The sequence below is a fragment of the Homo sapiens genome, chromosome 7, assembly GCF_000001405.40.
Source record: "Homo sapiens chromosome 7, GRCh38.p14 Primary Assembly".
Lineage (NCBI taxonomy): Eukaryota > Metazoa > Chordata > Mammalia > Primates > Hominidae > Homo > Homo sapiens.
This window is the reverse complement of record NC_000007.14, coordinates 117845191-117860569: the sequence shown is the minus strand read 5'-3', so window position 1 is coordinate 117860569 and position 15379 is coordinate 117845191. Positions and strand designations below refer to the sequence as shown.

Below are 15379 nucleotides of genomic sequence, written 5' to 3'. Positions count from 1 at the left end.
AGATTGAGACCATCCTGGCTAACACGGTGAAACCCCTTCTCTACTAAAAAATACAAAAAATTAGCCGGGCATGGTGGCGGGCGCGTGTAGTCCCAGCTATTCGGGAGGCTGAGGCAGGAGAATGGCGTGAACTCGGGAGGTGGAGCTTGCGGTGAGTCGAGATCACGCCACTGCACTCCAGCCTGGGCGACAGAGCAAGACTCCATCTCAAAAAAAAAAGAAAAAAGAAAAGAAAAAACAATACATCAAGAAAGTCTAATCACCAATTTTCCAATTAAGTATTCTGGATCTTGCGTTTATTTTGGTTTGTAGATCAAACATAATTTGGTGCTTGTTTTTTTCCTTCTTTTCTATTTAATACTTTGTCTGTAATTAGTTATTTTTTGGTTCTTGGTCATTTGGCCAAGAAGGATATATTTATTAAGTATGGGTTTATCTTATTTCATCAGGGAATTGTTTCCTCAAACCTTGTCTTAGGAAGTCTAATTTAATGTACATATGAAAATCTGTGGAATGTTAACACATTGTTACCTGTGACAGGAGCGTATATGGTAGAGGAGGGAGGTGGTAGTGCTGGATGGTCAGACATAATAATGGAGAGGGTGGACATGGGGAGAACTCAGTTGTGTGGGAAGAAGAGATAGTTCCTGAAGTCATGTCTTCAATGTATTTTCATAAACCAGAAGTTGGCATAGCAGATGTAGTGATTATCCATCAATTTGATTGCAGAAACAAATTGCCACAGAAAAATGGTAGTATAGTTAAGTATAGTGGCCGATACTGAGTTGAAGGTGTTGCCTTTTGAATGACAAGTTCTGCTCAGTAGACATTTGCAGTTTGCTTATATTCATCCTATTCCACATTGAGAACATCTGTATTGCTGGCAAATGTAAATTTTCCTGAATGAAATTTTTGGGAGAAATGCTGAGGCAGCATGTAACTAACATATGTGACCCTTAGCCCAAGGACAGAACAAGGGCACAGTCAGCTGCGAAGGCCAGTAGTATAGCCTCTTGTGGTGAGATAGAAGTGAAGGGCTCCAGCTGTGCCTTAGATATATATATATATTTTTTGGTCCTTCTGTGTTAACTTGTGAAAGGCATCAGCACTGTGGAATTCCCCACTACTCACATCAATGTTTGAACATTTAGTGAAGTCTGTGTTTTTATGTATCACCTTAGCAACCACATGTATTTCTCTTTTTAATTTAATTGCAATACTTTGAAATGTTGAAATGTGAGAGTAGACGTAAAGGCTTGCTAATAATCAGCACTTGCCGAATGAACATTTTTCATAGAGTCAAGGAATGTTAGAATTACAGGGAGCCTTAGATGATATTGTAGGTCAGTGTTTTGCATCCCTGTCAGATGTGGTGTCTCCTTTTCATAAAATATGTTATCACCTTCTTACTATCCTGCAATGAAATTTATGGAGAATTGCATGTATAAGTAGGTTCTGTTAAAAATTACAAAACCAATACAAAGATACCAGGAAAATATTTAAAATAAAATATGATGTACTCAATATATAAATGCTCAGACATGACTGTACTGAAAGACGTGATAAAACACGTGTCTATTTGAACCTATTCATGGCATTGACATGAATATAATAGTTGCAAAAGAATCCTGATCCCATCCTGCTATGTTGTTTACTCTGAGTCAGCAGATTTGTGGTGGGTGAGGTGATTTTCTGAAATGGTGAATGACTTAGTAAAGTTGCAAGCAAAAGTACGCACATACACAGGAGTTGAATCCCTGGAAAATTCAGTTTGTTAAAAATTATATTGACTTGTTTAATAAGTAAAAAGGAGTTACCCTCTAGACTGGTCATATAGAAGGTTCCAGTGAAAGGAATGAACAGAGAGATATTTGAAACATGGCACAGTTCCTGGATATGTGGAAAGGAACCACATCTTTTCTCTGCCTCCCTAAGTGCCAATCACTGTGAAAACCAAAAATGCTCATCTGTTTCCAAAACACATCCTAGGGTACTGCTCCTGTGGAGAACCACTGGCCAAGACCAGTTTCCTTTTTTTATAGATAAAATCAAACAAAAAGCCTGGAGACTTCTGACTTATTGAAGGCCACAGATATGGCATGCATAAGAGCTTCCAGTTCATTTTCACACAGCCTGCCCTGTGGAACTCGGTGTATATGGAGGCTCTTTGTTTTGTTTTGTTTTTTGTTTTCTTTTTTTTGAGACGGAGTCTCACTCTGTCGCCCAGGCTGGAGTGCAGTGGTGCGATCTCGGCTCACTGCAAGCCCCACCTCCCGGGTTCACGCCATTCTTCTGCCTCAGCCACTCAAGTAGCTGGGACTACAGGTGCCTGCCACCATGCCCGGCTAATTTTTTGTATTTTTAGTAGAGACAGGGTTTCACTGTGTTAGCCAGGATGGTTTTGATCTCCTGACCTCGTGATCTGCCCGCCTTGGCCTTCCAAAGTGCTGGGATTACAGGCGTGAGCCACCGCGCCCGACCTATGGAGATTCCTGAAGCTTTTTTGGTTTAAAATTGAGAATTGTGATTTCTTTATTTAGATGATTGTGTTTTTTACAGTAGGTAATAATGTCGTCTTCACATACCTGTGGTAGCCATCATAGTATCACTGTGGTGATTTACTGATTGAGTGTTCCCTGGGATATTCACTGGTCACAGTATGTCATCTGTTTGCCTTTTCCTATAGGGGTGGAATGTAACTGAGTGACTAATGCCCCAGAAAGAAATTGGGAAGGAGAGAGGCTGTGAAACTGTCATTTTAATTTTGTTTTACATTATGAGATCAATTTACTCCTAAATCAAGAATCAAAATTTCCTCAATCGGTAATCAGTGTGCTGCTATTCAACTGTGAAGGAAGTGCATCTTGGTTTTTTTTTTCAGCCAAAATTAATATTCCTCTGAAAATAGTAAATAGTTTTGAACTTAATATATAAATTATAAAGTTACCTAATTTGTACACTGAACTTTATTAAATTTAGAAATGATTTTGTTGTGAGACAAATTCTTTAGAATTTTAAAATCTTTAAACATATATTTCAGATGAAGCTATTTTACTTTAAATCATGCTATCTTTAAGCTTTGATTTCAAGTTATTAAAAATTGCATACATCATTGAATTAATTGCAATGGACTTTTCAAAGCAATCCATAAATATAATTTTGGATGGGGAGGATGTTAAGAGATTGCAATATATATCTTGGTACCTTTGCTATTTTCATATATTTAAGGTATAGATACTTCCTAGTATAAAAAGCCCATGATAGTATTGAAGACATTAATTTTTTAAAAGAGCAATATTGATGGAAAAATCTGAATTGCATAAAGCTGATTAACTGAAATGTATTTTAATTGATTCTCATGGGAATTATTTAGTTTGTCAACAATTCCTCCATATTCACATAGAGTAGGAATAAATCTTTGAACAAACAGATAACATTCAGATAAAGTCCAAAGAAAAATATTTTGCAGTTCAATAAAGAATGTGCCCAAAGAGAAGCAGCTGCATTTTCTGAACACCAAGATAGGCACAGAAGCTTTTGAATTAAATTTAATTGGCTATTCAAAATCTGCGTACACAATTTATACAGAAATCCGTGATTCAAGATTAATTAACTTTGTGGAGTCTTCTGGCCTTTGTTTCTTTTTTCCTGTTGCTACTGGTATTCTTACAGGTATCTTAGTCAAAGAGAGACAAAGTCAAGACGATGAAAATGCTATAATCATAAAATTTTAAAAGTCAAAATTATGTGCTTAAGCCTACATTTTACAGTGCCCAGCCTGCCATCATTAGCATGAGTTTACATAAATATTATATCATTTAAACAATGAATTCCTTTGGCAATTATCTTCAGATTTTTTCTGTGCCTTTTTCCTTTTAGATTGGATAAATGAGATTGACCATAAACCCATGGCAATTCTTCCTCCTAACCTTCATATAAAGTAACTATATAATCTAGACTTTAAATTATTATTTGCATTGAAACTTTTAAAAATTAGCCAGTTTAACATTTCTTCAGATAGAATGCATTTATGACCCCAATAACATAGGAAACTATCAGTTATAGAATTGCCTTGTACAAGTGGCTGTAAGAAAGAGACTCAACATAAATAGATTAAATAAGTTCATTTCTCTCACATAACAATCTGGAGGTGAGTGATCCCAGCTGGAGAGGCAGCTCCATGCTAAGTGGTCATTCAACAACCCATGTTATTTTTGTTTTACTACTCTTCTTAGGGAGTTAGCCTCATCAGCATGCTTAAAACAGGATCAGTGCCAGCTCCACATCCCAACATATGGTAAGGGGGAAAGATGGGAAATGGAGGGCAAGCATTTCCTCTAAGTATGGTCTTTCTTCTGCAGAGTGCACACAGGTGTATCGGTGAGACCTTTCATAGACATGGAACTTTTCCTAGTTGCATAGGAGCCTGGAAAATGGCCATGGCTGGCTGTAGTACTATGGAAGAAGGGAGGACTTGGGGCAACATTAACAACCTGCTGAAGTCCAAGAGGGAGGGACCCTATCTTGATTTCAATATTATCTTTCAAAATATCCTGGGCTAAGATATAGGAAGATAGATCTTTCCCTCCTTCCTTCCTCAATAAGGATTTGATGAATACCTATTATGTAGCAGGCATAAAAATAACGTTTGAAGTACATGTAAGTGAAGATGTATTATGCCAAAATTGTATCTGTTTAGAAAATTCTGTTTCTTGGCTTTATATATTTAAAATTAATTGTTCTGTATAGTGCCATCTAGGCCTAAGTTTTACTTTTCTCAGACCGTGACTCAGTATGTTGAGTTTGCCTAGAATGATCTTCCTTTTCAAAAACTTGACTGTTCATTGGGTTCAAAATTAAAAATAAAATGTAAAGCTCTTAAGTAATTTTGCTTTAAAGCAGGTTTTCTCAACCTCAGCACTGTTGATATTTGGGACCATTTATTTTTTGCTGTTTGGGGGGAGCTGTCCTGCACATGTAAGATATTTAGCAGCATCCTTGGTCTCTACCCACTAGATGCCAGTAGCAACTCTTTGGTTGTGACAACAAGAAGGTCTCTCCATGGGGGACCAAATTGCTGCTGCTTGGGAAATGCTGTTTTAAGGAGGTAATACTAGTCAAGGAGGGACTATTTTTAAAACTGATTTTGCTAAAATTGGCCAGGCGTGGCAGCTCACACCTGTGATCCCAGCACTTTGGTAGGCCGAGGCGGGCAGATCACTTGAGGTCAGGCGTTCAAGACCAGCCTGGCCAATGTGGTGGAACTCTGTCTCTACTAAAAATACAAAAATTAGCCAGGCATGGTGGCAGGCAAATTTGGGATGAGGTCCCTCTATTTATGGCTATTAATGCAAACAGTCCGCATGAGGTAATAGCTTGTTGACCCCCATCCTCTCTATAGAACTGAGCCCAACCACTTGCAACAGCGAGCCCTTGCCTTGGGACAGGCAGATTTAATTTGCCAGTGATTATAAGATATATCTCAGGCTGGGCTTGGTGGCTCATGCCTGCAATCCCAGCACTTTGGGGAGCTGAAGCAGGTGGATCACTTGAGGTCAGGAGTTCGAGACCAGCCTGGCCAACATGGTGAAACCCTATCTCTACTAAAAGTACAAAAATTAGCCAGGTGCAGTGGCACACACCTGTAATCCCAGCTACTTGAGAGGTTGAGGCAGGAGAATCGCCTGAACCCGGGAGGCGGAGGTTGCAGTGAACCAAGATCAAGCCACTGCACTCCAGCCTGGGTGATAGAGCGAGACTCTGTCTCAAAAAATAAATAAATAAATTAATTAATTAATTAAATCATCTATTTTTGCTAAAATAAATGTAAAAACTATTCAAATACGTTGCATAATGATGCAGTGATTTTCTTGAAAAAGTATACCTTTAAACTAAAAGTAATTATTCTGAAAATGCCCATTTTAACAACTTCAGGGCCCTTTCAAAATGTATTACATATTTTACTATTTAAAATTGAATTACAGTTTCTTATGCAGAAATTAAATGCCTTATTTTTCAAATTAAAAAGCCTTTATGGTTGTATGGTTCAGTGCTAGAATCTTGACATAGAACAAAGGCAATCACTTTAAATAGAATAATGGTTCCACTCTAGTTTTAAAAGCAGCCGCAGAGTATGCTACAGAGTATTGTGAATGTTTTCCTCATATGACATGTCTGCTAAATCCTGATAAAAGAATAACAATCTGGCTTTTTATTGGTTTCAGCTAAGTAAAACATGCAGTCTTTTGTATTTCAGAATTCTCCTGTGAATGCAGGCATTTGATTGACCAAAACATACCCTTTTTGTGCTGTTCATTATAATTAATGAATGAATTAATTTGCTGAGCAGAGCTGAATTTATGAAAACAAAAATTAATTTAAGTTTCCTTTCCTGTCTGTTGAGATAATGCTTTTGTGCCATGCTAGAGAAAGGAAGAAGGGTGTTGACCAGATTTTGTGTTGTTTCTGCAAGCAAATCAGTTTTCAGAAAGAACAAATAGCTGATGATTTTTAAGTAGCATTGTATTTGTTCCAGCAGGACAAACACTGAAATAATCAACTTTGATTCTTCTGGTCAATGTTTTCTTTGATAAACATTTACCATTAGTAAAAAACAAACAAAAAATAGAATACCATGCAAAACATTGCTTTTCCATATATTAGAAAATGCAGGTGATGAGGTCATGAAAGCAAAATGTTTATGATCACCATTTCTGGCCCATATAATAAGCAAATGAAGTAACTGCATAGCATTTGCCTGCTGATTATTAATAAGTTACCAAGATATATGTAAGGAGAACACACTAAAGATGAGGCTTTTCGCAGCTCAATCTCCCACATACCATTTGATCCGTTCTGGTGCAGGATAGAATCAGGGTTACAAATAGAATGAAACCAGGAATATATTTTTGTATACTATGAAGATGATCACAATTATGGGGACTGTCAGTCTAATTAACAGTTCATTTTTAGAATTCCATGTGATCTGAAAATACAAGGTATTCCTTTGAGGCATTCTGATTACATTTTAGCCAGCTCATGGGTGGCTAAGCTACAAGTCATGGGTTTTTGCAGAAATTTCTTTTGCCACCTTTATGAGGAATTCTATGTTTTGATTATAAGAGGAAACAAGGGTCTAATGCAGTGTGCTCATATACAGTGTGCAGCATCATCTTTATTATGTAAATTTTTAAATTTTTTGTGGCATTATTTTCAACTTTGCATAAGTAATTCTGTTTGCAGCCACCTCTGTTCACAACCAGCTAAAAGTAAACTAAAAAATGAAAAAGGAAGAGGGTGGTTTTATCATTTTAAACTAAAACAGTTTCTTTTCTACAGCCACCTCCATCCATCCCATGATGGTGGGTTAGGCATTAAGCAAACCAAAGTCAAGAAAAGGGTAATTCCATTTGGCTCATGCTTTGCAGGAATCCTGAGGTTAACTGCTATTTACAACAAGCTAGAGATTGAACAGGGGATGGAGATGAAGCTTAATATTGTTAGGTTTTCGTTATATGTCCGGCACTTCATAGGCATTATTTCTTATCCCTATGAAATCTCTTGAGATCAGTGGTAGTACCCCTACTTTAGGAACAGAGAAAGTAAAGCTAATAGGATATATGCCATTTTCTGTCTGACTCCTAACCTTAGCCCTCACCATGTCTCTCCCCCAAAGGCAACATTAATGAAACTAAGCATTTTCCTAGAGCTGAAAGTTGTCATTTATGGATTGTTTACTTTACTTTAATTGCTACGAGGGCTCAGACCATTTCTACACACCTGTAATCAATTGTAAATTTCAAAAGCTGCATAGAAATTGAAGCTACAAAGAAATTGTTAGTATTCTATGTTTAATCATTCATTTGCTGTTCCCTTGCAATTGAGCGCAGGTAATTATAAACAGAAGTAAAGCCTTGAAGATTTTTAAGATCCTATTGAATGGCAAGTATAATAAGGTAGAGGAACATCATTGATTTTTAACGTGTCCTTCTTATTAATTATACCAAAAGCTTGTGCTTTTCTGTAATTAGGGTATGATTCTAATAGGATGAGAGAGAACATGCTGGTGCACTTGAGAATGCTGCATAACCTGAGTTTAGGGAAGTGATGGAGATTTCTGAAATACACAAGGACACAATTACTAAGGAACTGCTCTTTCCACCCTGACCATCTTTGCATATTTTAGTCATTAAGTCTGTCTCTTGTAGTTGCATTTTGTTTTTAAATTTGTAAATCTTTTAGTTTTTCATATTTGATCTTTTTTTTTTTTTTGGTTTTGTATATGCAAAACATCAGCAGGTAGTAAATTCAGTCCTTAAATAGAAATTTGGTTTGGTTTCCATGAAAGGCTGTTGTATGGATTTCCTTGATGTTATAAAATTCTTTATTTTTTCCAATCAATAAAAGTTGAAGTGAATTTGCGAGGGTAGATTATGTAAGCCAGGGTCATGATAGAGGCACTACCAAGGAAGAGTTCAGTATTTTAAGTAATTGATGTATTAAAATGCGGATGTGTCATTGGCCTTGTTAGAAAGTTCAGGTTTCCTTTCATGAAGCCTGAATCAACAGAATCTAGTTTTAGATTAGACTTTTTAAGACAAACTTTTAAGTAATCCTGTCAAGTTAACTTAGAGTTGATGATTTTCTATTGATGAGTCTCTTTCCGTGAGTGCCTGGGAATACATTTTTCATAAAAAAGTCTCAAAAGTGTATTGGGCTTCCTTCTGGAGTTTCTTGACAAAATAATGAGACTTGACTGGCATAACTGAGAAGCAACCTTCCATCATGTCTGCTTGGCTACATCAGAGGTTCCATGTGTTTTTGTGCCTGTATGGGAATAGTAACAAGTTGTGAGTTTGGTTTGGTGGACTGTAGATAGGACAACTAATGGAAGAGCTTCAGAAAGTCTTAATAGATACTGTGAATATGTTAAACTCTTAATAAGTTTAGATTTCAGACAGTTGACAATTAAGATTCACTGTAGGCTCCGAGGTAGGAAACAGATGTGGTAAAAACAGTGTCTAAGGGAGATTACGTTAACCACTTTTGGAAATAGATTGACAGTAAAAGGGAAAGAAAGAATCTGAGGAAGCAGTTACAGTTGATGTTAATTAAAGTATGGTTCCATGAAGCTCTGAATTCTGGGTGATGGCTCTAAATGTAATTTGTTGTGTGTGTGTGAGGGGGTTGGTGGGGAGGTATTAACAGGACTTGAATAGACAGAAGAGATTGGGAATAAAAGTATCTCCTCCAGCATGAGTGCATTATTTTCCTTTATTTCCTCTCTTCTTTTTCTTTTTTTCCCTCTATTTTCTTTTCTTTTTTTCTTAAATAGAGACAGGGTCTTGCTATGTTGCTCAACCTGGACTCAAACTCCTGGGCTCAAGAGCTCCTCTTACCTCAGCCTCCCAAGTAACTGGGACTGCAGGTGTGTACCACCATGCTAAGCTTAAGAGTGCATTATTTTCTAACTGGTGACAGCAAATAGTTGCTCCTAATGCAATTTCTGTGTCAGGGTAGAAACTTTGTTTTTTAAGGACATTGTGTTTATACTCCATGTGAATTCATGCTCAATTAATTCAGGCATTTGTTCTAGTTCTTCCAACAGCCTTTTTAGTGCTTAGCTGTTCAACGTTCACCTAGTAAATATTTTCTCAGTGTATATTTATCATATCAGGTGTTGCACTGGGAAGAGAGTGTAAGCTAAATAGTCCTGGTACTTCTAAAATTTATTGTCTAGTAAAGAACACTAACCATAATAAGTTGCATTTGTGATAAGTGTGACAATGGAAAAGTACTGGGCTGTTAAGATTATGTACCATGACTGATATGGTATTTTTCTTAGACCCACTGTGGAGGGCTGTGTAATAATAGGGCCAAAGTAAGAATACAAAATATTTGCAAAATATTAATATTTATAATATATCTAATAAAATAAAAATAACCATGTTTCTCTTGTTTGGTCCCCACCTACTTAGGTTTCCCTGGATTTTGTGCAACTCCCTCAAAGTTGTTTTATTTTGTGCAACTGCTTTGCCGTGTCTCCTTTTGATCTCTCCTTGTATGCAGATGATGGCCTCATGAATTTCTTGCTTTTCAAAGTGACTGTTAGTCTCTCCTATTTATCTGTCATTCTTTGGTTACTTGAAATTACAAAGCAGTATGGCTGTTTTGTACCAATGAATATAGAGGTGGTTTGTTTGTTTTGTTTTAAGAAGGGGTCTCTGTCAACCAGGCTGGAGTGCAATGGCACGACCATAGCACACTGCAGCCTTGAACCAAACCATATACATAGGTCCCATCTGTGGTTTCAGGCATGCACTTAGAGTCTTGGCACATATTCCCCATAGATAAGGGGAGGCTATTGTATATTCTACTAATCAAGCAGTCACATAGCTCAGATTCAAGGTGAAGAGACATAAACCTGACAGGGGAGAAATGTTGAAGAATTGGAGGATGTTCCAAAACCTCCAGGTAATACCTGCCTTTGTTTGCTGAGCCCTAACTGCTAGGCATGCTATTTAGTATTTTATGTGGATTATGTCATTTAACCTTCATGAGTATCCCTGGAAGTAGGTACTGTTGTTATCTCATTTTAAGGCTCATGGTTAAGGAAAGTGTTCTGTGTCACACAGCTAAGTGCCAAGCCAAAGTTTGGACCCAGGTCTTTCTATCTCCAAATGCATCTTCTTAACTACTCTTCTATATAATCTTGTGGAAGAGAGCTAGGTAATAGCTACTAATTAGAATGCAGGGCTGGCTTGCGTGTTTTAGTAAAGCCCAGAGAAAAGAGTTCTAATGAAGATGAATTATGGACGGCTTCTGGGAAGAGGTGGCATTCTTGTAGTCTTTTAAAGAATGAGTACCTTAATGAATAGAACAATGAGAAGTGTGTTCTGATCAGAAAGAGCCAGAGCACGGGATCTGTGTGTGCTCTGGGCAGAGTGAGGAGGTAATGGATGAAGGCACAGGGGTATGGACTGATGGAGTAGGAGTTCCTATGGGCTCTATCCAGGAGGTTTTGAATGCCAAGCTGAAGCATTTATGTGCTTAGCCTGGTAGGCAGTGCAGAGTCCCTGAAGATTATCAAGCAGGAAAATGGAATGATCTGAGGCTTTTGTTCTCCAAGTGTGGTTTCCATACCTGCAGCATCAGCTTCATCTCATTAAAAATGCGAATTCTTAGAATCCCTACCCTAGATCAACTAACTCAGAAACTCTGGGGATAAAGCAAAGTGTTCCATTCCGTGTTTCCACAAGTCCTCTGGGTGATTCTGATGCATGCTAAAGTTTGAGAACCGCTGATCCAAAGGACGGTCACTCATAAAGCTGGTGTATTTGTGTAACATCACATCGGGTTTGCGGTGAAATCGCTGATGCTGATTAGGTGTCAGGGTTGGAAAGGCTTTCTGCTCAGTAAGCAAGACGGCCAGTAAATTTGTCTAGTCTTTTTCTTTTGCCCATCTACTTGATGAGAAAAAGAGGCAGTGGCTCTTCTCAGGACAGCTTTTTCAAAAGTCAGCAAGTGCCTCAAAGTGACTCAGCCTGGAAACTTTCTTAAAGAAGCCTGTGGAAATAGCACTAAAGGAGCTTTCTTGAATTGTTGGATTAAAATAAAACATGAATTATTAAGACATTAAGAACTGTATGCAATCGACTGATTGCTATTACAGTTGATATAATTATTCACGTACACCTCTAATGGTTTCACATAGGAATTGAAGTGGTTTACAGGAATAAAAACAGCAAAATGGGAAAATGTAAGTCTATAAAAATTAGGGAATAGAACAGTAGTTTACAAACCTTTTAATAATAAGACCTTTTCTTCCAATGAAATCTTACTTGAGTCCCAGTACATAAACCAGAAGCTGAGCTCTTGGGTTGGAGCAAATGATTAGAGTCCTAAGTTTCCTGAATCAATTAAAACGGAAAATAAAATAGGAGCAGCTTGAGTTACACATGATGTGTTGTTGTTTATAAGGTAGAAAAAAGCTGTAGCAATTACTTCCTCAGGGAAGAGAAACTTTTCCTGATACTGGGCTCTATAAAGTTTTTCATCTCTGCCTCTTCAAATTGGAGATATTGGGTAGTGTGGTCATGTTTTCCACAATATCACTGTAAAACTGTAATGGCTGAGTATAAATGGGTGCTTTTGCATAAAATTCATTGATATAAGTGAGAGGCAGGATGCTTGGGCAAAGTAGCTGGGGTGGAAGTGATCAGGTGGGGTGGTGAGGCGTGGGCAAGACAGTGGGATTTCGAGAGGGATGGGCACCACAGCAGAGTGGTCTGCTGTGAACTGAATCTGCAGCAGATCATCTCAGGAAGCAGATGGGGCTGTGTGACCTTCAAACCATTTGCCAGCTTGATCTCATAACATTTGCTAATGTTCCTTATTTAATCATTTTATGTACATGTTTTCTAGACTGAACAAGTATTCAAATATGGTTAGGCAGGCCAGGCGTGGTGGCTCACACCTGTAATCCCAGCACTTTGGGAGGCCGAGGTGGGTGGATCACGAGATCAAGAGATCTAGACCATCCTGGCCAACATGGTGAAACCCTGTTTCTACTAAAAATACAAAGATTAGCTGGGCGTGGCAGCACATGCTTGTAATCCCAGCTAGTCGGGAGGCTGAGGCAGGAGAATCACTTGAACCTGGGAGGCGGAGATTGCTGTGAGCCAAGATTACACCACTGCCCTCCGGCAAGACTCTGTCTCAAAAAAAAAAAAAAAAAAAAAAAAAAAAAAAGGTTAGGCAAAGAAGATCTATAAAAATTTGGACATGGAACAAAAGCATGGAAAACATATCAGTGCTTCTACAATAAAATGAGGGTTGATGTCAAATAATTTTGGCTTATGACACTGTCAGAATGTATGATGACTGCTCATAACACAAATTATGTTATGAATTTATGAATATACTTTATAGTTTAAGTACTGGTAGTTGACAGTGAACAATATTTTTCTATAGCCCTGAAATAATTTGGCTAGTTATTTTCTCTAATCAACTTATTTCAGTTTAGAACATTCTTTTTCTTTGGAGTCTTGCTCTGTTGCCCAGGCTGGAGTGCAGTGGCATGATCTTAGCTCACTGCAACATCTGCCTCCTGATTTAAGCAATTCTCCTGCCTCAGCCTCCCAGGTAGCTGGGATTATAGGCATGTACCTCCACGCCCAGCTAAGTTTTCTATTTTTAGTAGAGACAGGGTTTCACCATATTGCCCAGGCTGGTCTTGAACTCCTGGCCTCAAGTGATCTGCCAGCCTCAGCTTCTTAAAGTGCTGGGATTACAGGCGTGAGCTACCACACCCGGCCTAGTTTTCTGCATTTCTGCTTTTGAACTTTCCAACTCTCTTTATTGTCCTACTTTTCATTGCTTTGAAAACCAGCTTGTGCATTTTTTTTTTTCTGGATGCCCCTGAAATGATTTAAAATGTTAGAAGCATTTTGGTAACCCTGTAATCTAAAATTTTGTTATTTAGCTCCTCTTCCTGTTGGTGAGTTGAATATTGACTTTTGCAGGGCATCATTGCTCTTTCTGTGGTGTCTCTTAACAGTCTCAAATTGTCTCTAAGTCAATTTGTCTTTACGTTGTAACTAACCAAGTGTAACTCCTGGTAAACATTCACTACCATTTTTTCTTCATAACAAGTTAAGCTGCCCCTTTAATATGAGAGTATATATATATTTTTTTAGTTACAAGAAAACATTAAATTATATAAATATTTGCTTAAGGAAAAAAGTCACAATGTTTAAGAAGCCAGTTTTTAAATCTTGATACATTTAACTAAGGAATGAAGATGGTTAGATCGTAATAATAATGGAGCAACTTTTAACATTTTTGTTAGTAATTATAATTATGAGAGTTGAGTTTATAACAGTTTTGTAAAATGTAACAATTTGATTTACAGGCAATTCAAATGTTTCTTCATTAATCCTTTTCTTAACAGTGTAAATAGCATTATATGATATTTTAAAGTATATTTCTTTTTTTTTCTTTTTTCTTTTGGTACATGAACAATGACTCTGGGTCCATGTGGGATTAGTCTTTCTCCATGGATTATTTTTTCTCACTAATAACAGAGTTCTAATTCTTTATGTACCAGAAAGTTATACTTCCTTTTCTTAATGGAAATATATATCATTTGATTGTTAAATTACTGACTTTAAGATTTACCCATAAACCTACCACCATAACATAATTATAAACGAGTTATACAACAGTTTTATATTTCTCATTTTTTTTATCAAGCATTTTAACTATTTTTAGTGTTTCTAGTATTAATAAATCATAGCCTTCTTGACTATACAGTATTTCACATGGTCGAAGAATCAAAACCTTATTATTCTTCTATATTCTGTCATCAGCTGTTTTTCCATTAGCTATGAGTAGGGATGGCATTCAAAATATTTAACAGGACCGGGCGCGGTGGCTCACGCCTGTAATCTCAGCACTTTGGGAGGCTGAGGCGGGCGGATCACGAGGTCAGGAGATCGAGACCATCCTGGCCAGCACTGTGAAACCCTGTCTCTACTAAAAATACAAAAAAATTAGCCGGGCGTGGTGGCAGGCGCCTGTAGTCCCACCTACTCGGGAGGCTGAAGCAGGAGAATGGCTTGAACCCGGGAAGCGGAGCTTGCAGTGAGCCAAGATCTCGCCACTGCACTCCAGCCTGGGCGACAAAGCGAGACTCCATCTCAAAAAAAAAAGAAAAAAAAATTAACAGAAACCACACAGGTAGCAGTAAATCAGAAAGGATGCTTAAAATACCAGGACAGATCACATTCGTTACACCATCTTGATGTGTACTGGCTGAACCACAGCCCTTGCTGTGGATATCCTTTGGTAATGTTTTAATTTTGAAAACCCTCCATAGAGAAGCACAGCCCAGTCAAATGTATTTGCTTATAAAAACCTGTGTCATCTCAATGAGCATTGGTAGTGCCTGCTAGAATTTAGCGTAGCCAGAAGTGTGTAATTTAGGTAGGTACAATTTTAAATGACATAATCTGCAAGATATTTTAATAGTTGTGCTATTTAAGATATCCTTTTTTTTAATTATTAATGTAATAAATGCTCTTCATTGAATATCTTCAAAGACACAAAAGAGGAAATTTTCCCATCACTCAGAAGTAACCATTTTTCTCTGCATTAATGAACACATATAATACAGATCTCTCAAAAATGGGAACATGCTCTACACAGTAATGTGTGCAGCCTGCTTGCATTCTTAATATATTGTGAGTGAACATATCCCTAGCTATTCTTCAACTTTGAGATTTTTCAATCACTGCATGTCATTTATTTACTGAAACCTCAGTTCTTGGACATCTCCTTACTCCTCTTAGACCCCATGAACTATTGCTGCAATTCCTCC

At 37.6% G+C, this 15379-nt stretch overlaps 1 protein-coding gene across 12 annotated transcripts in view, besides 1 other annotated feature; it reads left to right on the top strand.

Annotated features, from left to right (window-relative positions):
• Positions 1-15379, top strand: part of CTTNBP2 (cortactin binding protein 2) — a 162791-nt gene that overhangs the window by 12872 nt on the left and 134540 nt on the right. The window lies entirely within an intron of this gene.
• Positions 914-1114: a silencer, noted in NCBI's record as "fragment chr7:117499510-117499710 (GRCh37/hg19 assembly coordinates)". NCBI's record gives its function as "represses an EF-1alpha promoter that drives an FKBP-Casp9 reporter gene in an ReSE screen in K562 erythroleukemia cells {active_cell/tissue: K562}" and the evidence as "EXISTENCE:reporter gene assay evidence [ECO:0000049][PMID:32094911]".